Source organism: Homo sapiens, chromosome 3 (assembly GCF_000001405.40).
Source record: "Homo sapiens chromosome 3, GRCh38.p14 Primary Assembly".
NCBI lineage: Eukaryota > Metazoa > Chordata > Mammalia > Primates > Hominidae > Homo > Homo sapiens.
The window spans coordinates 75,412,597-75,435,306 of NC_000003.12; the positions used below are offsets into that span (position 1 = coordinate 75,412,597).

A 22,710-nucleotide genomic window follows, 5' to 3' on the forward strand; every position below is an offset into this window, starting at 1 on the left:
CGGCCTGGGCGACAGAGCGAGACTCCATCTCAAAAAAAAAAAAAAAAAAAAAAATTCACACTTTGTTCTTTGACCAAGTACAAACCTTACAAAGTTATGCAGTGAACACCATCTGACTTAGATTAATTGAAAAGTAACTGGATCAATCCCCCTTTACCCCAAGCATCTAAATGGAACAATTTGCTTTTCTTTTCTTCGGGATGCAGCATAATCCTCAAACTACAGAGCCACTTGGCAATGAAGCCAGGATCACAGTGCATTTGATAACTTAATGCAACTTTTTACTAGCACTTAAAACTCAGATATGAAATCTATACTTGATCTTTTCTGCTTGGAATTGGCCAAATTAGTGGTTCTGCCCCAGTATACAACAAAAGGCTCTCAGAAACACTCAGGGTCGCTAACCAATCAGAAGGACCAACAGAGCTCGACAAACAGACAAGGGGGTGGAAGTGCACCGCCTTCCACCCCACCCGCTTAGACAGCCTTGCAACTCCGCCCACTTTGAGGATGTGTAGGATGATCAAGGTAAGCATGATACCTATCTTAACTTCAAGGTAGAAATTAAGGCTTGAGGGCACTTATTTGGTGCCTTATTCAGTTAATTGGAAGATTATATGGTAATTTCACTGCTCATAATAATTAAACCTTTTTTTTTCACTTTAGGGATGATAATGACATTTGGAGACTAGCACTGTAAACCTCAAAAATCTATTTTGAAGATGACTGGATTTAGGAGCAGGACAGGTTTGCTGTACACTTGAATGAACATGCTTTGTTCCCCAAAGCAGCAAAAAAGCCAGAGTCTGGAAGTTTCTAAAACTTGAAGAAGACGCAAGTGGCAAATCCAAAAAGCTGTGCCTAGAGAACAGGTCAGTTGACCGGCTGTATCTATTCCAGGCTCCCGAGTGGCTCGGTGGAGGATTTCGGACAGGTCTCTCAGTTTCCCCTTCTTTGGTTTCACCTTAGAGTGAGAGAAAGTCACAGCATTTCTTCCTTTGTATTTCACAGAAACACAGGTGGCTGGATTGACAGTCAGCAAATGTAAAGAAATACAGGCGCCCACATGGCACTTATGCTGGCCTGGCCTCAAGCTTCATATTCATCCTTAATTGGTTCCCTGGCACACTCACCAGTGACCTGGCTCCACTTCACCAAATGGACCCAAGGGCCCACACTTTCTTAATTCTCCTGTAGACCCTTTATTCACTCCCCCTCATCCTTTCTTTGCTGGCGGTGGTCGCTTCTGACTGCCCGAATCCTTTTTTTTTTTTTTTTTTGAGATGTAGTCTCACTCTGTTGCCCAGGCTGGAGTGCTGTGGTGAGATCTCAGCTCACTGCAACCTCCGCCTCCCCAGTTCAAGTGATTCTCCTGCCTTGGCCTCCCGAGTAGCTGAGATTACAGGCATGTGCCACCACGCCTGGCTAATTTTTTTTTGTATTTTTAGTAGAGACATAGTTTCACCATGTTGGCCAGGCTGGTCTCTAACTCCCGACCTCAGATGATCCACCTGCCTTGGCCTCCCAAAGTGCTGGGATTACAGGCGTGAGCTACCGAGCCTGGCCTCAATCTTATGCTTACTATTCTTAATCTGTTGCCTCATTTTATAGGCCGGGCACTGTGACTCATGCCTGTAATCCTAGTATTTTGGGAGACTGAGGCAGGAGGTGAAACCCTGTCTCTACTAAAAATACAAAAAATTAGCCAGGCGTGGTGGTTGGCGCCTGTAGTCCCAGCTCCTCCAGAGGCTGAGGCAGGAGAATGGCATGAACCCGGGAGGCGGGGCTTGCAGTGAGCCGAGATCGCACCACTGCACTCCAGCCTGGGTGACAGAGTGAGACTCCGTCTCAAAAAAAAAAAGGATGAAAACTCCTGGTTCGTGCTTTAGCTACATCCACAGGAGCAACAGACTAAGACATTCTTCCACACAATAACAGACCCAGGCAGTGCAGAGCCATGTGGGTCTTGTCTGTCCTGTTGTCCACAGTCTGGTTTTATCTTAGACCTAGCCTGGTGCAATCCATGTTGTGTATTGGCACTCCACTTAAGTTTCCTGTTTGTAAAAAGCCCCTTTCATTCGGTGATTCCTCAGGGCTTTAGGGGAACTTTCTGGAAACCAGGAAGAAGGAAGTAAAGGTTGTTTTACTGAGGATAGGTGATGTTGGGCGCGGGACCCAAATGAGTGGTTTGAGCAGAAAGTAGCCTCCACGCTGGACTAATGCTTGGCAACATTATGCGAAAATTTGGGGAAGCCGGGAGAGGAGAGGGCAGAGTTTCTTTCCCAGCCAGCCAGGGGGTCCAGGCAGTTTTGATCCTAGGATGTCTCTCTGTGCATTCCCAAGTGATTGCAAGGCTTCTTCTTGTCATCGTCTGGATTCCCCAAGCGTCCTTCTTTTCCTGGAGCCTCTGAGTCCTCTATTCCTGAGGCCTTTCTTCAGCCCTCCCAATAGCCCTGCCATGATTTCATTGCAGGGCTGTGACCGTCTATGACAAGCCGGCATCTTTCTTTAAAGAGACACCTCTGGACCTGCAGCACCGGCTCTTCATGAAGCTGGGCGGCACGCACTCTCCATTCAGGGCCCGGTAGGCCTGCCATCCTCAGCTGCCTTCTCTCCTGCTCGCCACTGCCCTGGCCTCTCCCCTTCTCACTGCAGAACTGGGAACCCACTCATCCAGGGGTTGGCAAACTAAGGCTACAGGCCAGTCTCCTGCTTTTGTAAATCAAGTTTTATTGGGACACAACACACTCATTGCCTTCTGAGTTGTCTACAGCCGCCTTTGAGCTACAATAGCAGAATTGCGTTTTGCAACAGAGAACCTGTGGCCCGCAAAGCCTGAAGTATTTACTCTCTGGCCTTTTAGGAAATGTTTGTGGACCCCTGCACTGTCTTACTCTCCTGCCAGTGGGTTCCCAGGCCTGCGGCAGGATCTGTGGACCTGTGTGTCCCCTGGGGTGTCTCACGGGGCTAAGGAGGGGACCTTTCTGCAGGTCCACACACCCTGAGGTGGGCACCTGGGTAAGCTGGGGTGGTGTGGGAGGGCGTCCTAGCATGCTCATCTTGAGTCCAGGGGATGATAAGACAGTAAGTCCCATGGAGAAAAGGAATGAGTCAGTCTTGTTTGCTGTTGTAACCTTAGCACCCAGCAACAATATTAGAGAAAGCAAGCCCAGGCCCCGGATGGCAGGGATGGCCTGGTGCTGCTGATGTGGCTGGCCACCCCAACCGTTGGGAGTCTGCAGGCCTCGCCATGGCAAGAGATGCCCGTTCTGGGTCCTGGGCCTGCTCTGTGGCCTCTCACAGGGTTTTTTTCTGCTCCTTCATCTCAGAACCTGAGGACCCAGCCACAGAGCGGTTGGCCTTCACAGAGCGGGATGCTGGGAGTAGGCTGGTGACACGTCTCCACGAGCGGCCAGCTCTGCTGGTCAGCAGCACAAGCTGGACAGGTCTGCATGACCCCTGGGGCACTTGGGGTTGGTGTGAAGGGCACCTGGCCAACCTGTGTTCTCCTCACCCCTGCCAGTCCTTCATGCCCCCACCCCGCCATGGTCTCAATGAGAAGGGGAGGGCGTGTGAGCTGGAAGAGTGCTGTCTAGAAACAGGCCCCTGATATTGAATTCTCTTCTCATAGAGGACGAAGACTTCTCTGTCCTGCTGGCAGCTTTAGAAAGTAGTTGTGTGGCTGCGGTGAGGAGCGCTGGGCTTGTCGGGGCCACTGAACTGTGAGCTGCTTGCCTGGCCTGCAACATGTTCCTGTCCCGGGCTACTGGGTGGGGCAGCCTGGGGACAGTAGGGGTGGTGGAGGTGGGCCTCCCTGAATCCCCATTTGGGTCATTGAGTGACCAGGCCCTCAGGCTGAAATGCCCCCTCCAGGAGAGTATCTCACAGAGGCTGGGGGACTCCCTGCCAGAGCAGTGCACTTTCTCCACCTGACCAGGTGACTCTGGCTATTGTTTATTCAAAAATTTTTTTCTGAATGGGGATGGTGGCTCACACTTGTAATCCTAGAACTCTGGGAGGCTGAGGCAGGCAGATCACCTGAGGTCAGGAGTTCGAGACCAACCTGGCCAACATGGTGAAAACTGTCTCTACTAAAAATACAAAAATTAGCTAGGTATGGTGGTGGGCGCTTGTAATCCCAGCTACTTGGGAGGCTGATGCACGAGAATTAGTTGAACCCGGGAGGCAGAGGTTGCAGTGAGCTGAGATCACACCATTGCATTCCAGCCTAGGTGACAGAGCAAGAGTCTGTCAGAAAGAAAAAAAAAAAATCTATCAGAAATTCCATGTAGAATTGTTTCTTTTTTAAACACAGAGTTTGAACAACTGACTCTTCATGGACACAACTTTCCTTCTCTCGTCTGTGTGATAACAGGTACCGCCTGGGACCCTGGGTGTCTGTTTCGTTGGGGGATGGCAGAGGGGGAGGGGCACGCAGCCTTTACCCTGTGCTTCCCACGATCTTGTCTCCTTAATCCTCACTGCAGCTCTCTGCCATAGGGTCTTATACTGCTTGACATGTGGGAAACTGAGGCTCAGAGGGTTTCACAGCAGGGCAGGGAGCCCAGATTTGAATCTGTAGATACCAAGCTTTCTACTTTTTCAGTAGTTTCCAAGCATCTTTTTTTTTGTTGTTACGTCATTGGTGTCTTTTTTTTTTTTTTTTTGAGACAAAGTCTCTGTCGCCCAGGCTGGGGTGCAGTGGTGCGATCTCAGCTCACTGCAACCTCCGCATCTCACATTCAAGCAATTCTCATGCCTCAGCCTCCCGAGTAGCTGGGACTACAGTTGCCCACCACATCCAGCTTATTTTTGTATTTTTAGTAGAAACAGGTTTTCACCATGTTGGCCAGGCTGGTCTTGAACTCCTGACCTCAGGTTATCCACCCGCCTTGGCCTCCCAATATGCTGGAATTTTAGATATGAACCACTGTGCCCGGCCATGTCATTGGTGCCTTAACCAAGCCTTTTTTAATTTTTCAAACGGAAGAGCCCCTGTCCCACAGTTACTGCTGCTGAGCCCTTTCAAGATGACTCAGTGAAGAGGGAGAAAAGTGGAAGCGGTGTGGGAAGAAGCGGGGTCTGGGCCAGCTGCTGGTCCTGCTCTCCTCCCTCCTCTGGCCTCTAGGCTTCCAGGAGTGGTTCGGAATCCGCGCCATGTGCTCTGGGGGCTGTGGCAGGGCAGGGGCAGCTTGGAACCTGCGCCATGTGCTCTGAGGGCTGTGCCAGGGCAGGGAGATTCCTCGTGTACCCTGCGCACAACACGGACAGAAGGCTGGGTCCACCCAGTGGGCGGTCGGGTGCCAGGCTAGTGCTTACCCCGCCTTGTTTGCAGCCCGAGGCCAGCTGGTTGCAGGTGCAGGGCTATGTGTCAGGGGTCAGGGTGCACACACCCCTGCAGGTCTCGGGGCTCCTGGGTTGCTCCTGGAAGGGCCCAGATAGGGCCTGACTGGAGCTGCTGAGGGGTGGAGCTTCTGGGAAAGGGATCCCTCCTAGCGGGGAGTGTCTTGGGCCTGGGGCCATGTGGCAGGGACAGAGACGGGTCCATGGCAGTGTCTGCTCTTCTCTGTGAAGGCAAAGGGCCTCTGAGGGAGTATTACAGCCGCCTCATCTACCAGAAGCATTTCCAGCACATCCAGGTCTGCACCCCCTGGCTGGAGGGCCGAGGACTACCCCCGCTTCTAGGTGAGAGGCCAGCAGGAGGCTCAGGGAGGAGGCGGGGCCTTAAGCAGGGGGAGCAGGGGTGGGCGGGATGTACATTTTCTGAAAAGGTGGCTCTGGAGGCCACTTGCGGACAGGACCTGGGCTCTGGCTGAACTCCCGGGTGGAGGGTACTTCCTGGTATGCCAGCCCCTCCCTGCCAGGTGGCCCCAGAGGCCCTTTACCAAGGGGTTTGAGGAGGCCACGTCCTTTCAGTCGGCCACGCCCTCCATTCAGTCCTCTTCCTTCCTGCAGGAGGGCTGTGCCTGGGGTTGGGGCCACTGTTGCCCAGGTGTGGGAGGGCAGTGGCTTTGGGAGGTACAGGGACGATGTGTCAAACAGCATCGCCTCTCCCAGTGAGATGGTTCTCCTTTGCCTCCGTCTCTTTCCCCGTTGATTTCTCCAAGTGGGGAGTCGTGGCTTGGTCCTGATGGGTCTCTAGAGCCGCATCTTCCAGCTTCGAGTGAGCAGAGCAGTTGGAGGCTGAGGGCCTTTTCCTGGCAGGATTCTCCAGCTAGTCTTTGTTTTAGATAGTCTTGTTCCGTTGCCTAGGCTGGAGTGCATGATCTCAGTTCATGCAAACTCCGCCTCCTGAGTTCAAGCGATTCTTCCACTTCAGCCTCCCAAGTAGATTACAGGATTACAGGAGCCCGCCACAACACCTGGCTTATTTTTGTATTTTTAGTAGTGACAGGGTTTCACCATGTTGGCCAGGCTGGTCTTGAACTCCTGACCTCAAGTGATCCTCTTGCCTTGGCCTCTCTAAGTGCTGGGATTCCAGGCATGACCCATCATGTCTGGCCCCAGCTAGTCTTTAGAAATGTTAAGCTATTTGGCTTTATTTTCACACTGACAGCTGGTTTGTGGTGGGTGTGCTGTGGTTTATTATTATTATTATTATTATTATTATTATTATTTTGAGATGTAGTTTCGCTCTTGTAGCCCAGGCTGGAGTGCAATGGCGCGATCTTGGCTCACTGCAACCTCTGCCTTTCCGGGTTCAAGCGATTCTCCTGCCTCAGCCTCCTGAGTAGCTGGGATTACAGGTACCTGCCATGACGCTTCGCTAATTTTGTATTTTTTTTAGTAGAGATGGTGTTTCACTATGTTGGCCAGGCTGGTCTTGAACTCCTGACCTCAGGTGATCCACCCACCTTGGCCTCCCAAAATGCTGGGATTACAGGCGGGAGGTGAACCTGGGAGGTGGAGGTTGCAGTGAGCTGAGATTGTGCCACTGCACTCCAGCCTGGGTGACAGAGTGAGACTCTGTTTCAAAACAAAACAAAACAAAACAACAACAACAACAAAAGACAAATTGTGGTTATGTATAAGAAGTGTCAGCTTACATTTTCAGATGTCCCAGCCAGGCCGTGTGGCTGCTTGGCCAGCTTAAGCCACTTGTGCTTGGGGCTGTCGGGGGCTTTATCCAATTCTCACTCCCCTCGGGGGATGTTGTCTCACTGTGCTGGGAGGATTTGTGTTCCCAGGGCACAGACCAGCGCTCTGACCCACCCCTCTTGCCTAGCAGGGTCGGCGGACCTGGGTGTCTGTCTGCACACGTCCTCCAGTGGCCTGGACCTGCCCATGAAGGTGGTGGACATGTTCAGGAGCTGTTTGCCTGCGTGTGCCGTGAACTTCAAGTGGTAGGAGCAGAACCCGAATCTTTCTGGGGATAGCTTCACAGATCCACCGCTGAGGGGGAAGCAGTGCAGAGTGAGCTGCTCACAGTGAGGCCCTGCCCCTCGGTCAGTCTAGCACACACTGGAGGCCATGAGGAGGAGCCCTGCGGTTACTGTGCCTGGGCTGAGCCTCACTGAAGTAGTTGCTTCCATTTAGAACTCATGTTATATTTAGGTTGGTAGAAAAGTAATCACCATTTTTCCATTAAAAATGGCAATTACTCTTTCACCAACCTAATATAAAAAAAAAGCACCTTAAATACTAGAACTCCACTCGGGGCTTTTGCTCCTAGAGTAGAATTGGCAGGAATTGCCTGCAGGCTTACATGGTTTTCTTTGTTTTTCTCTCCCACCATGTCCCTTTTGGTCAACCTCACGTGCTGGGTTTGAATCAGTTAAATGAGTGTCATGCTGTGGCCTCACTTCACCCAGCATAGACAAGTGTTTGGAAGGGTGGCGTTAGAGGAGATTCTAGAAGCAGTAGCCCCAGCACAAGTTGAGCCCTTGGCCCCTGCTCAGGAGACGGCCTCTGGATGGGATTCAGGGATGCGAGCCCCTCATGTGAGCTGAGCTCAGGGAATGTCGGGATCAAATCTGGTGTCCTAGAAAAGTCATCTTTTATGTGCTGAACCAGTCCCCAGGGGGTTGCATTTACTTGTTCCATGGCCATGGAATTTAGAAAAACATGCAAAAATAATTCTTCAGTCCTTGAAGAGCATCCAGCACAGAAGGTACAAACCCTCCTTAAGGCTCCCTCCTCAAATCGGTTTGGCCATTTTGATGTGCACCCCCGCCAGGCCTTTATACCCTTCAGATGCCAAATCTAAGAACCAGCTCCCAGAAACCACACCCCCTGTTCCAACCCCCAGCCTGGCTTGAGCGTGGGGTGGGTGGGAGCCCAGCTGGGCACCCCAGGGGTCTGGTGTCTTCTCCAGGAAGCTCTCGGGTTCCCTTGGTTCTCTCTGCAGTTTACATGAGCTGGTGAAACATGAAGAAAATGGCCTGGTCTTTGAGGACTCAGAGGAACTGGCAGCTCAGCTGCAGGTAGCCATGTCTGCCACCACGCCAGGGTGGGCAGGGTTCTGGAGACTGGCACCGAGCCACACTCCCTGATCCCTGCTTCCCACAGCCAGGGTGGGACCATGGGGGGTCTGGTGGAAAAGCTAGGGAGGGAGCAGAAGTCACAGAGGCTGGCCTACTCTGCTGTCCTGTTTCAGTACAGTAGGCTCGGGAAAGTTAGGACACAACGCCACCTGCCCTCTGGATTTATGGAGCTGACACGCCACAAATGATGCTGGATCCAGGTGGGCCAGGCTGCAGTTTAGGAAGTGATCAGGATCAGGTAGGTGCATGGGCTAAGGGAACTTCTGGGACCAGCCTTGAAAGATGGGTGGAATTCTGCAAAGGTTACTTGTTTCTTATTGCAAAAAGTAATACATCATTCTTGTCAACAGAATGATTGGGAGGATTTTCAGTAAAGGTCCAGGTCAGAAGTCATTTAGACTGGGTCCCCCAGTCTCTGTCAGAACCATGGTACTCTGTTGTGGTGTGAAAGTAGCCACAGATCATCTGTAGATTAAGGGGTGTGGCTTTCTTCCAATAAAGCTTTATTTACAAACACAGGCTGTGGGCTGGATTTGGCCTGCAGGCTGTAGTTTGTGATCCTTGATTCAGAGAGTTTAGCAAGGCTGAAAAGAACACCCACTCCCCCTTGTTACCCACAGATGGGTGGGACTGTGTTGGCCAGAGGCCGAGAGGAGGGTGCTCACAGGGGAACGTACAGCATGTAGAGGCCGGAAGGTGCTCCAGGGCACCAAGTGTGGGAAAGTGGGACATACGGGGAAGTTTCCAGAAAGCATGATGTCAAGTGGGAGGCGGAGCGCTGCTGGGGTGTGAAGGGTCTCAAGTCCAAGTGAGGGAGTTAGGGACTTGGGAGGGGTTGTTGTTGGGTCGGGGACCTGGGGTCAGCCAGGTGGTGACCTGGGATGGGGTGGGGACAGGCAATGAGGTAAGCTCTGCTCTTTAGTATTTTGCAGATGCTTTTCTCAAACTTTCCTGATCCTGCAGGCAAGCTAAACCAGTTCCGGAAGAACCTGCAGGAGTCGCAGCAGCTCTGATGGGATGAGAGCTGGGTGCAGACTGTGCTCCCTTTGGTTATGGACACATAACTCCTGGGCCAGAGGCTAAAACCCCAGGGCCCCTGCTGTCCTTCCCGCAGCTTCTTGGAGTGTCAGGGCAAACCCTTTCGAGCAGCGCCTCCCAGTGGCCAGAAGCTGAAATGACGGCAGTGGTGCCACCTGGTGAATGACCCGGGAAGCTGTGGTTGGCCCTGATTTCTTCTTTGGAGTCTCTGAAACGCTTCCTGTCTTTTGTTCTTCATGCCCCGTGCCCCTGTTAGCGTATTACTGTTCTCTGACTTCCCTGTGACCTCTGCAGTACTCCTCATCCTGCATTTGGTCTCCAGGTGTCACCTTTCTGCCGTGTTCCTAACACTTTGATCCCTGTCTTGAAAAAAGCACCTGCTGCACCATAGGCTCAGGGATGTGGCAGCTGCAGTGGGCTTGGCTTTGTGAGGAACCGAGTGTGTCCAGGGATGTGACAGCTGCAGCGGGCTTGGCTTTGTGAGGAACCGAGTGTGTCCAGGGATGTGGCAGCTGCAGTGGGCTTGGCTTTCTGAGGAACCAAGTGTGTCCACATTGGGGGAACGTCATACTTGATACACACTTTTTTATCTGCACAAAGCCAGAATTTTCATGTCTGATATATGGTGATTTTCGTAAGAACCAGAACTGCTGGCAGAAAGGGGGCACCCACACGCTTAGATAGCCGATGTCTTATTAGAGGGCAGTTTGTGGTTTCTGATTTGGAATTTAACATTCTCCAAACATTCCAGTACAATGAAAGTTTTATCCGCTTTCCCATATAAAAATTCTTCCCATGAGATTGACTTGATTCTCACAATCCCGTTGGAGTCGTGTGTGAGTCCTACAGTGTGAGGTTCAGCATTGCCATCTCCAAGTGCTCTCCATAGGGAAACAGTTTCTGGTCATGATGAGCTTCCGCTTCCCATATGATCCCAGCCCGGCCTGGAAACAGAGCACGTGCTTGAGGATGGCGGTGTTTGGGGACAGGACGTGAGCGTTTTGTGTGGGGCTGCTAGGACAGGCCTGGTGGGGTAGGGGGTGTCTAAGTCAGTTTACTTGTTTCACAGGTTCCCAGGCCCACCCAGGTACCTAGAATTGGCCACCAGGATGGGACTAGAAATCTGGTTTTGCATAGAAATGGCTAGCAGCAGGCACCATGCCACTGTCCACTCTCTGCCCGCGTCTGCCCCAGCACTTGGCACAGCAGGACAGAAGCAGAGATCTGAACCCACATCTACCTGGCTGCTCAGTCAACTCACTCTTCACAAAGCTTAGAAAGTGGCCGGGCACAGTGGCTTATGCCTGTAATCCCAAAACTTTGAGAGGCCTATGCGGGCGGATCACTTGTCTTCAGGAGTTCGAGACCAGCCTGGCCAACATGGTGAAACCCCATCTCTACGAAAATACAAAAATTAGCCAGGCACGATGGCGGGTGCCTGTAATCCCAGCTACTTGGGAGGCTGAGGCGGGAGAACTGCTTCAACCCAGGAGGCGGAGGTTGCAGTGAGCCGAGATTGTGCCACTGCACTCCAGCCTGAGTGACAGAGTGAGACTCCATCTCAAAACACACACACACACACACACACACACACACACACACACACACACAGCTTAGAAGGGGCTGGTGTTCTCATAAGCACAGATGTCTGAACAGCCATTAGCCAGGATGATTCTTTTTTTTTTTTTTTTTTTTTTTGCGATACGATGTTGTTCTGTCACCCAGACTGGAGTGCAGCGGCACAGTCATTGCTCACTAAAGCCTCGACTCCTGGGCTCTAGCAATCCTCCCACTTCCTGAGTAGCTGGGATGACAGATGCATGCCACCATGCCAGTAATTTTTTTATTTTGTAGAGATGGGGTCCTGAACGCATGGCCTCAATCGATGCTCCTTCCTCAGCCTCTTTTATTATTATTTTTTAGATGGAGTTTTACTCTGTTCCCCAGGCTGGAGTGCAGTGGTGCAATCTCAGCTCACTGCAACGCCTCCCAGGTTCAAGTGATTCTCCTGCCTCAGCCTCCCGAGTAGCTGGTATTATAGGCGTGCACCACCACGCCTGGCTAATTTTTGTGTTTTTAGTAGAGATAGGGTTTCACTGTGTTGGCCAGGCTGGTCTTGAACTCTTGACCTCAGGTGATCTGCTCACCTCAGCCTCCCAAAGCCTCAGCCTCTTACAGTGTTGGGATTACAGGCATGAGACACTGTGACCCGGGATGATTTTCAGTCACTTTTTTTGTTACAAGTGGAAAATGCGTATTCATAAAAATGACGTAGTACAGATATGAACGTGTAGAAATCTCTATAATCCTGCCATCCAAGGATGGCACCTGTTAACGTGTATATCAGGGATGTCCAATCTTTTGGCCTCCCTGCGCCACATTGGAAGAAGAAGAATCGCCTTGGGCCACACATAAAATACACTAAAGCTAGAATAGCTGTTGAGCTCAAAGAAAAAAAAAAAATCACAAAAAAACCTCATATTGTTTTAAGAAAGTTTACAGATTTGTGTTGGGCCACAGGTTGGACAAGCCTGCTATATAGATGTTCTAGGTTTTCCCCTATAGGTATACTTATGTGAAAATGATTATTGTGATAAATTTTTTTTGAGATGAAGTCTTGCTATGTTGCTCAAGGTGGCCACAAACTCCTGGGCTTAAGCCATCCTCCCACCTCAGCCTCTTGAGTAGTTGGAATATAGGTACTCATAACCATGTGTGGGTGATTATTATTAGTTTTTAAACAAAACTGGGGCTGGGCGCAGTAGCTCACGCCCGTATTCCTAACACTTTGGGAGGCTGAGACAGCAGATCACTTGAGGTCAGGAGTTCAAGATCAGCCTGGCCAACATGGCGAAACCTCAACTCTACAAACAATACAAAAATTAGCCAGGCGTGGTAGCACGCACCTGTAGTCCCAGCTATTCAGGAGGCTGAGATGGGAGGATAGCTTGAACCTGGGAGGTAGGAGGTTGCAGTGGGCCGAGATGGCACCACTGCACTCCAGCCTGGGCAATACAAAGCCAGACTCTGTCTCAAAAAGAAAAAAAAAAAAAAAAGGTGGGCGGGGGCTTATACTATGTGTGCTGCTTGGCACTGTTGTTTTTATTTAAAAGATATTGCAGGTTTTTTTTCACGTAAGTATCTGAAGAAAGACTTCCTTTTTTTTTTTTTTTTTTTGGTTTTTTGCTTTTTTGAGATAGGGTCTTGCTCTGTTGCCCACGCTGGAGTGCAGTGGTGAGATCAGGGCTCACTGCAGCCTCCACCTCGTGGGCTCAAGCCATCCTCCCACCTCAGCCTCCTGAGTAGCTGGGACTACAGGTGTGTGCAACCACATCTGGCTAGTTTCTGTATGTTTTGTGAAGACAGGGTCCCACTATGTGGCCCAGGTTTTTCTTGAACAACTGGGGTCAAGTAGTCCTCCTTTCTTAGCCTCCTAAAGTGCCGGGATGACAGGCCTGAGCCCCGCGCCCGGCCAGCCTCCTGTGCGAGGTTGTGCGGGACTCTGTCGTGGAACCCAGTATGCCTTCATGTGCTGGCTTGTTTGTTGGCTCTGTAGTTAACGGGCTGCCCCACGTGGACAGGCACTGGGTTGTCTGTGTCTCTGTGTGCAGGCAGAGGCTGCTGCGGGTGCATCTGTGCACATGGCTGCCAGGAGGGGCTGTGCTCAGGGGGAGCTGGGGCAGAGGCTGGTGGCATTGGGAGGCTTGGGTGTAGTGTGGAGGCACGAGAGCCTGGTGGCCGGGCTGCAGTCTGCAGGAGCTCGAGGGTCGCTTGGCCTCTGTGTGTCCTAATGTCTTTGTCGGTGAGATGGGACAATGACAGCACACCCTCACAGGTGCTGGGGGCTGACAAACGTCAGGTCTGAGGACAGTGGTTGGCCCACTGAGAAGTTCCCCTTCTCTATAGTCACCCTGCTCGTCTTCCATCAACTGGGTGCTCAGGACAGTGGTGTGGTGGATCAGCCTGTACAGCCTGTGCTCCAGCGTCCTGCAGGCCACAGCTGTGTCCAGCCATGACCCCGACTGCCCCTCCCACCACCTCCATTTTATAGATGAAACCAAGGCCCAAGGGCTTAGGGAACCCTGCTCTGAAGCACATAGTAGGGCTGCTGGGCTCAGACCCTCCCTCCCTCTGCTGAGCCGCCCTCCTCCTGCCGCAAGCCCCCCACACCCCAAGCCCACCCTGCTCGCCGGCCTCTGCCTGAGTTCCCCGCATGATGTGGGAGTGTGGGGCATCCTAGCTTTTCCCCGGCGCCCAGTTCTTTCACTTCCACTGGAGTCCCGCAGGGACAGCTCGGGGACCATGCAGGCCCAGGTGGGCGTGGGGGCTCACCTAGCTCGGTGGTGAACAGCTGGCACGTCTCTGGGTTGTGGACGGTAAAGGCCACGTAGACCTCAGGAGACTGCTGGTGCTCCCAGCAGGCAGCCAGCCTCCGCAGGATCCCGACCAGCGACACGATGGCTTCTGGGCAATACAGCACGTCTACGGTGAAAGCTTCAGGTTACTGAAAGGGATAAGTGGAAAGTTCCAGTTCATACTGACCTCAGCAGCAGGGCGAGGCCAGAGAGGCAGCGGTCATATGAGACTATTAGATGCCATTTGACCATTTGGGCCATTAGATGGAAAGGCAATTACTTGGGTGAAAAAGGAGAACCCTTAGTAGAGAAAGCTGCAAAAGACCGAAGCAAAAGAAAAAAATCTCCAGACTCACTGGTGTTCCTTAAAAAACCAGCTCTGGTTCTCGGCCTATCTAGAGGGCTTTGAATGACAGAAAGCCTGACCCTGCCGTGAACTTCGTGTTTCAGGTGTCTGCCAATTGGTCTGCTGGCTTGAGGGGGTGGGCCTGTGTCCCTGGCCACCGCTGGACCTGTGGGTTTCAGGGCTGGAACCCAGGACCACAGGCAGAGCTCTGTTCCACCAGAGAGGGGACTGAGTGTGCTGGCAGGGGTGAGGGGTTTTCGGTGGCCCAGCCAAACACCACCTTCTCTCAAGGGCCCTGTCCTCATCTCAGAAGTGGTTGTTTTCCTCCTGTGGTCTCTGAAGGACACAGGGCATGGCTCTGGGACAGAGCCATGTGGTGATGACTGAAACGGGAGTATGCCTGTATCCAACAAGAGGTCTGTGGCTTGAAGGTCACCTTAAGAGGCACCCCTGTCCTTTGATGTCACCCTGGAGGCCCAGAGTACCTCTTCTGGAAGCCCCATCATGTCCATTCCCGACAGCGTCCATTGTTCCCTTTTCCCAGAGCCAAGGGCTGGGTAGAGCTGCATGGACACCACCTGCACAGGATGCCTGGGGCTGGCCATTACCTGCTGCAATGACAACATCTGGCTGGAAGGCAGAGAGCTGATGGACCGTCGCTACGTCCCAGTCCAGCTGGGCCACTGTCACCCTGGGGCTGTCTAAGTTGGCAGTGATGTCTGCCTCTAATGAGAGGCCATTGAGAAGGACATTCCCTCGGAGCTGCTCGAGGACCCGGCTGTGACAGTCACTGAAGATGAATGCCCGGGGGCGGTACATCTTGCAGATGGCCAGGCCTGTGAGGCCGGCACCACTGCCAAGCTCTAGGACAGTCCTGGTGGGAGGAAAGGGGACCGTGTCTTCAACTGCACCAGGGTAAGCCTGCCTCAGTGCCCTGCCCTGTGCCACAAGGTCACCTGTTAGTGAAGGCTGCTGGGTTCTCGATGGCCCATTCTGCAAGGTAGAGGGTGGCATCCCATGTGACCAGGCCTGTGGTACCATGGGAGATGATGGCTGTGCTCTCGGAGAGTGTGACTGAGCCTCCCGAGGGCTGCACCAAGAGAGGGCGAGAGAGTAAGTCCAGCGATCAGAAGGCAAGTGGCTTAGAAGACAAGTAGCCATCCACCATATGTCTGAATAAACCATGACAGGACCAATCGCCACTCAGCAATGAGAAGCAGCTAACTGTTGACATACCAACAGCTTGCACAGACCTCAAGGGTGTCACATAGCATGAAAGACACTCAGGCCACACTGGAGTCCATTCATCGAACATTGCTGAGACAACAGAATTCTGGTGATGGAGCACAGGTCAGTGGTGGCCAGGGGCCAGGTGTGGCTATGAAGGGATGGCTGCCTTGTGATGATTCAATATGCTATGTTTTTCCTTTGTGGTTTTCTGTATCTATGTTTTATTTTTTTTTTTTTTGAGCTCTGTCACCCGGGCTGGAGTCAGTGGCACGATCTTGGCTCACTGCAACCTCTGCCTCCTGGGTTCAAGCAATTCTCCTGCCTCAGCCGCCCAAGTAGCTGTGACTACAGTTGTGTGCCACCATGTCCGGCTAATTTTTGTACTTTTTTTTGAGACAGAGATTCGCTCTCGTTGCCGAGGCCGGAGTGCAATAGCACGATCTCAGCTCACTACAACCTCCACCTCCCAGGTTCAAGAGATTCTCCTGCCTCAGCCTCCTGAGCAGCTGGGATTACAGGCGCCCAGTACCACACCCCACTAATTTTTGTATTTTTAGTAAAGATGGAGTTTCACCATGTTGGCCAAGCTGGTCTCAAACTCCTGACTTCAGGTGATCCCCCTGCCTCAGCCTCCCTATGTGCTGGGATTATAGGCATGAGCCACCACGCCTGGCCTAATTTTTGTATTTTTAGTAGAGATAGGGTTTCACCATATTGGCCAGGCTGGTCTCGAACTCCTGACCTCAGATCCACCCGCCTTGGCCTCCCAAAGTGCTGGGATTACAGGCATGAGCCACCATGTCCAGCCCTGTCAAGTATTCTTTGAGGACTGGGCACCAGGTCCTTGTGAAGCAGGTAGTGTGTGTCACCTATTGGACAAATGCCCAACAACCCCACGAGACATGCTGTTGTTGTTGAAGTGCTTGATTTACAGACAGGGAAACTGAGGCTAAAGAAGGTTAATGGACTTCATGTCTAAGACTGCAGAATGGGTGAGTCAGAATTTGAACCCACACCCACATTTTCACTTTGTCTGTGCAGGAAGTGTATCTGGGCTGTGAGGGGGAGGAGGGTGCCCTTCTCATACCAGCAAATAACTCCGGTGGCCCTGGGTGGACTCCTTGGCCATCAGGGTCTCTGCCAGTGCCTCATACAGCTCGTCCAAAGCCTCCATGTGGACAGCCTCGTGCTGGGGGCAGACAGAGTGAGAGCTTGTTTGCTTTTGTTCTAATCTGTAAAAATGGCCAGATGATTTTCACCAAGTTTGGAGGGGAGATTTGGGATGGAATGGTGTAACACCGGCCAGCTGGCATATAAAATATTCACTTCGTTGGGCATGGTGGTGTGTGCCGAATAGTTCCAGCTACTCTAGAGGCTGACATGGGAGGACTGCTTGAGCCCAGGAGTTCCAGGACAGCCTGGGCAACAGAGATCTTGTCTCTAAAAAAAAATAATTCCACTTGGTAGGGAAACATGAACGGGAGGGCCTTCAACAAGAGGTGTTGAGAGGGTAGGGTTAGATGTAGTCTAGGGCAGGAGACAAGGATTCCGTGAGAGCTGCCACCTGACCACGACAGAGAGCTCTGTGTTTGGATCAAACACAGAGAGGAGGAAAACAAAAGGTGCTTTTAAGTGAGCCCAGACAGAACTGTGAGGGCGGCCCATGCTGCAGGCTGTGGCTGTCAGCAGGCTGCTTCTCCACAGCTGGCCCCGTCCTATGATTCATAGGGCAGCAGAAGGGTACACTAGGTGACTGCTGCCCTCTCCTGGTGGCACAGGGCAGAACTGCTGGTGACCACAGATGCACCCTTTTGGGGAGGACTAGGGAGAAAGCAGGTATTGGAGAAGCAGGGGATTGTTTATTTGCTAAAAGTGTGGCCCTTTCATTCAGCAAGTCTGCTTCTGCCTACTGAGGAATGGCCTCTCGACATCCCCATGTCAAACCCTGCATATTCAGGCCCATCTTTAAAATCCATCCTAGGCCAGGTGAGGTGGCTCATGCCTGTAATCCCAGCATTTTGGGAGGCCAAGGCAGGCGGATCACCTGAGGTCAGGAGTCCGAGACCAGCCTGGCCAACATGGTGAAACTCTGTCTCTACTAAAAATACAAAAATTAGCCGGGCATGGTGGCGTGTGCCTGTAGTCCCAGCTTCTTAGAAGGCTAGACATGAGCATTGCTTGAACCCAGGAGGCAGAGGTTTCAGGGAGCTGAGATTGTGCCACGGTAATCCAGCCTGGGCAACACAGTGAGACTGTTTCAAAAAAGTAAATAAATAAGTAAAAAATAAAATCCATCCTATATCAGTCAGGAAAGAGCTCATTCCAGCAGGATCAAAGCAGAGAATTCACCAGAGGAACTAGTTCCAAAGGTATGGCAAGAGCTAAATCTTCCAAAAGGGGCCCGTGGGGCAACCCAGAGACGGACAAGAGCAGGAAACTCCAAACCCTTCAGCGGGCAGGACAGAGGGTGTGGGTGAGGGTTCCAGTGCTGTGGGCTGGACCAGCCTGGTAGGAATGAGAATTCATATGCTAGGAGCTGGCGCCCCAGAGAAGCAGCTGCTGTGGAAACCCCAGGAGGCAGAGTGAGGGAGAGACGCTGGCCTCCCCTTCTTCCTGCCCTGCACTGTCTCCCATGGGTCACACTCAGATGCAGCCAGTTGCCTGGGGAGGCCCCTGCCATGCTGGGGTTTGCAAAGAAGGCCCAGGGCCTGGGAAGGATGGGGTCTCCAGCACGCAGGTGGCTATGCTGTCCGGCTACTGGGCGGACACTGCCCATAACTGACCTTTTTGATGAGTTCTGAGAGAAAGCACCGGGCTTTCTTGACTGACGGCGGGTGCTTCACACACACACAGGATGCTTCACAGTCTACGGCAAAGGACAGAACGTTGGTTGCTCGAGAGCCCATCTTAAGTCTCCTATGAGCTTCAAGCCAACACAGCAGAGGGCAAACTCCAGGCTACCCGATCCCTCAGCAAAGATGTACATGGACACGGCGTTCTGGCCCCACGCATCTGAAGTTTGTCTTAAGATATAAGCCGTTTTCTAAAGATGCTTCCACTGCAGTGGCACAGGCTATGGCAGCATTTCTAATGCCCATTCTGAGCAGGAACACAGGGCATGTGGGCCCAAACCACCTCCCTCCCAGGGGAGCCAGTGTGAACCAGGGTTTGCTGTAAGGACAGTCGCCAACTGTCTGGCTTTATGGAAGAGGCGGGAAGGCCCACTCAGCAACTGCTCTCTTGGAGCGTGTGTCCCTGGGGACAGGATGGAGGGGAGGGAACGCTCAGGGTGACACTCCCACTAAAGCCGAGAGAAGCCAAGTGCAGGATGAGCAAGTTCCAGGCAGTGGGAACAGCCTGTGCAAGCTCTGAGGTGGGCACGGGCTGGCCCTTGGAAAGGAGGGCAGAGGGACTGGTGTAGCAGGAGTGGGGATGGTGGGAAATCAGGAGCCTGGAGGGAGAGGGAGGAGACAGTCCGCAGCTCCTGCTGGCTGGGTGGGATGCAGATTCTGCCCAAGGGCAGCAAAGTACCCCACACAATACACTGGCTCTTCATGCTGGTGTTGGTTTTTCATTTTTTCTGACACAGAGTCTCGCTCTGTTGCCCAGGCTGGAGTGCAGTGGCCCGATCTTGGCTCACCGCAGCCTCCGCCTCCTGGGTTCAGCGATTCTCCTGCCTCAGCCTCCCGAGTAGCTGGGACTATAGGCGTGCACCACCACGCCCAGCTAATTTTTTTATTTTTAGTAGAGATGGGTTTTTACCATGTTGGCTAGGCTGGTGTTGAACTCCTGACCTTAGGTGATCCGTCCACCTCAGCCTCCCAGAGTCCTGGGATTACAGGTGTGAGCCAGTGCACCCAGCCTTGTGCTGGGTTTTAAAGCAGCTCTCCCAACATTTCATGCTTCACCACCTATGAGAGTGAGGCTTAGGGTGAAACTCAGAGCAGGGTGTGAGATAACTTCAGGTATCTCCATGATCGAAGCCCTGACCTACTGTATTGCCCCGAAAGTCTTCCCTGCTGTGTCTGCATCTTTTCCATGTGGATAATCTTGGTTCACCTCTAGCACAGGAATTCTTCACCGGGGCTCCTAGGATGGGCTGGGTGGGTGGGGGTGGAGGATGTCTGTCTCCCCTGAGTTTGTATGGAAAACATATTCTTCTGGTGTACTTCTTTCTGGGAGGGAGTCTATTGCTTTGTCTTTTCAGAAGGGCTCATGGCCCTTCGAAGGTGAAGACCCAGGATGCAGGGTGATCTGCACTTGGCCCTCAAGGCCAAGGTCAGCCTCTAGCTGGGCCGGGTGGTGATCCTGGCTCTCACCTGCATGCAGATGCACTTGAGTCCAAACCCCACCCTGGGCAAAGCAAGGGCCCATTTAGGTCTAGAAGAGACAGGAGTGGGCAGGACAGGCCTCATGAATGCAAAAAAGAAAGTCTCTGAGCATCTACCAAATGCTAGAAGCTGTTTTGTACCTGTCATCTCTGTTTTTGCTGTGGATGGTTTAAAAAACATTCGCTAGATTTCACCCCTCTTGCAGATTTTTGTATATTCTGATGTCTTTGTCTAAGTCTTAGATAGACAACGAAAGTGCAGGAGCTGTCGGAGGTGCTGACACCCACCTGCAGTGCTGACTCAATGGTTTTGTTCTTTGAACAGGGGTGTTTTTAAAGGGTATAAGCACACCTATGGTTCTTCTCTCAGGTCTTCCGGAGAGATTCAGGAGGCAGGGTCATGAGTCCCAGGGACTCTGGGATTCTTACCTTCTGCAAAATATCCCGCAGCAGCTCAGAATCTGATGAGTCTCTTAACTTTGCTTCTAAGCTCTGTGTGGACGGGAGAGAGAGAAATCTCAAGGGCGCATTCACAGGAACATTAAAACACGCAATAGAATGTGTTGGCAAAGCGCTATGTGATCCCTCCCTGGGGACGTGGAGCCAGTTGGAAGTGGAAGCCACAGTGGCTGAAAGCCTGACCTTCAGATGTCGCTGGGTGCAATTGGATGAGTCACAGGAAGAAGACTGACTCTTGGCCGCATTAGTCATGGCTACTTAGCGGCCACCCGGGTCATGGGCCAGCTCCCTGGTTGCACTGGTCAGCCAGGAATTACCAGGGCAGCCATGGCAACAAGGTTTGATGGGCTTGCCATCTGAGTTTAAGTAGAAATGCAGAATGTGCTCATACCAGCCTGGGTTACATTGTCCTCTTACAGGGGCCTCAAGCCCAGCAGCAAGCTTTGGCTCCTGAGTTAGGCAAACTGTCTCGGCTGGTATGTGACCCACGGCAAGGCACTTCATTGCTTCAGAGCTCCTTCCATGCCATAAAAGGCCCTACAAGACCTGGTCCTAATCCCTCTCTCTGGCCTGTTCTCCCTCACCCCTGGCCCACCCTGCTCACTCCACTCCAGCCACACTGGCTGCCTTGCTGTTTTTCCTCAACCATAGCTGGCTTGTTTCCACCACAGGGCCTTTGCATATCCTGTTCCCCAAGCCCTTCCCATGGCTGGCTGCCTCACCACTCAGGCCCCAGTTCAAATACCACCTCTTTGGGGAAGGCTTCCCTGATTCCCCGACCTTGGTGACTCTTCTCCCCAGTTGCTCCATTCACCATTTCCCTGTTTTATTGGCTTTAAAGCCACTCTCATCTGGTCTTTTCTTGTTTATTCATTTATTTGTTTATTCTCTGGCTCTCCCATGCAAGCAGAGCCTCATCTATCATGGGTACTGCTGATCCATGGTGCCTGGCTCATGGAAGGCATTTATTAAACATTTTGTGACTGAATAAAAACACCAGCTAACACCGACATGCATTTACCATGAGCCAGGCACTGATCCACAGGCTTTTGTACTCAACGCTGACAACAACCCTAAGAGGTAGGTATCATTATATCCCCCATTTTATTAATAAGAAAACAATAGCACAGAGAGATGCAGTCACTTGCCCAAGGTCACACAGGGCCAGGGGTTGGGCCAGGATTCGAAGCAGGCAGGCTGTCTCCTGGGTCTGAACTCTCAACTACTTCACCCTAATCAAACAATCTCTCTGGTCAAAAGTGAGTGATAATAATAGTACCCACCTCGTCAGTGTTGAGGGTGAGCCGAAGTTAGCATTCAGTGTGGGCATGTGAACAACTATAGTCAATATTGAATGGAGACCTATGATGCTTTTATGAAGGTTTCTATTTTGGGTTAAAAATGCACAAATTTCTCCTGACTAAAATTGATCTCTGAGTGCTAAATATTTTATGTCAATGGAATAACGCAAATGATTAAGCAACACCCCATAAAATGGGGCAGACCCAGGGAGGAATATATATCCGAACTGACTCATCCCAGTGAGCTCACTGCACATGAATTACAAATGGAGAGGGGTGCATTAAGCCCCTCTGCTGGCAGAAGGGAGGCTGCTGCCTGCCAGGCGCCTGTGCTGAGAATGGCAGGTCCCCAGGGAGAGGAGAGGCCACCCCCTTCTCTGTCTCTTCCATCACAGGCGTGAAAGCCTCAGCGCATGATCCGATTCTGTGCAGTGCTCGACATACAGATGAGAACACTGAGGCACGAGGGACAGCCTGTGACCTGGTCACCGTGCTCAGGATGAAGTGGTTACCCGCGGGCCTGAGGGCGCTGACTTTTTAGAATGGGCGAGGGCAGCTGTGTCCCAGTGACCAGAACGATTACTACCTTTAAAAAGTCGTGAAAATGATCGTGAACTGTACCCCACACCGAGCACGCGTCTGCCCCCCCAAGGCGGTGGAGACGCCCTCATCTTCCGCCGCCAGCTCGCGGGGCAGGAGGGGTGCGAGCGACTCTGGCCAGGCCCCAGGGACGGGGACCGGGTCTCGCGGCCCTGACCGGGGAGAGCCCAGGAACTCACGTGGCAGGAGCGCCGGGGGTTTCAGCACGGAGACCCATCCCGTCTGCCCCTGGACTCCCGCGAGCCCCGCGGGCCTCTCCGCTCGCCCGCCGCCCCCCTGCCAGGGGAAGGAGCGCAGCGTGCGCGCCGCCAGGAAGCGGCGCTCGAAACTCTGCAGCAAGAGTTCGGTCCCCGCATTCTCCTCGGGCGCCATGACGTGGGCGGGGCCGCAGCGTTGCCGGGAGACCGGGCGGAAGCCGGGCCTGGACTGAAGAGGGGGTGGGCCCAGGGCAGTGCGCGGCGGCAGAGAGGGGGCGGGGCCTGGGGGTAGGGTCAGGAGGAGCGTCCTGGGGGCGGGCTGTAGGGCGGGGCCAGGATGAGCGTTAGGAGGGCGAGGCCTGGGGTAGGGC

At 52.6% G+C, this 22,710-nt stretch overlaps 2 pseudogenes across 1 annotated transcript, besides 4 other annotated features; one reads left to right on the plus strand and one right to left on the minus strand.

Moving 5' to 3' along the window:
- On the plus strand, positions 2,471-12,135 carry ALG1L6P (ALG1 like 6, pseudogene; annotated as a pseudogene).
- On the minus strand, positions 8,956-22,519 carry FAM86DP (family with sequence similarity 86 member D, pseudogene; annotated as a pseudogene). Its single transcript, NR_024241.1, has 8 exons — positions 22,322-22,519; positions 20,212-20,274; positions 18,236-18,318; positions 16,540-16,641; positions 15,179-15,312; positions 14,831-15,096; positions 13,854-14,003; positions 8,956-10,465 (listed from the first exon to the last, which is right to left on the minus strand). The product of NR_024241.1 is annotated as a family with sequence similarity 86 member D, pseudogene (transcript).
- Positions 12,550-13,051: an enhancer, noted in NCBI's record as "H3K4me1 hESC enhancer chr3:75474297-75474798 (GRCh37/hg19 assembly coordinates)". NCBI's record gives its function as "activates a minimal SCP1, AML or CMV promoter by ChIP-STARR-seq in naive H9 embryonic stem cells {active_cell/tissue: H9 hESC(naive)}" and the evidence as "EXISTENCE:reporter gene assay evidence [ECO:0000049][PMID:30033119]".
- Positions 20,282-20,576: an enhancer, noted in NCBI's record as "tiled region #2645; HepG2 Activating DNase matched - State 5:Enh, and K562 Activating DNase unmatched - State 5:Enh". NCBI's record gives its function as "activates a minimal TATA promoter and a strong SV40 promoter by Sharpr-MPRA in HepG2 and K562 cells {active_cell/tissue: HepG2 | K562}" and the evidence as "EXISTENCE:reporter gene assay evidence [ECO:0000049][PMID:27701403]".
- Positions 21,976-22,035: an enhancer, noted in NCBI's record as "active region_20103". NCBI's record gives its function as "activates an Ori minimal core promoter by ATAC-STARR-seq in GM12878 lymphoblastoid cells {active_cell/tissue: GM12878}" and the evidence as "EXISTENCE:reporter gene assay evidence [ECO:0000049][PMID:35858748]".
- Positions 22,266-22,675: a silencer, noted in NCBI's record as "silent region_14535". NCBI's record gives its function as "represses an Ori minimal core promoter by ATAC-STARR-seq in GM12878 lymphoblastoid cells {active_cell/tissue: GM12878}" and the evidence as "EXISTENCE:reporter gene assay evidence [ECO:0000049][PMID:35858748]".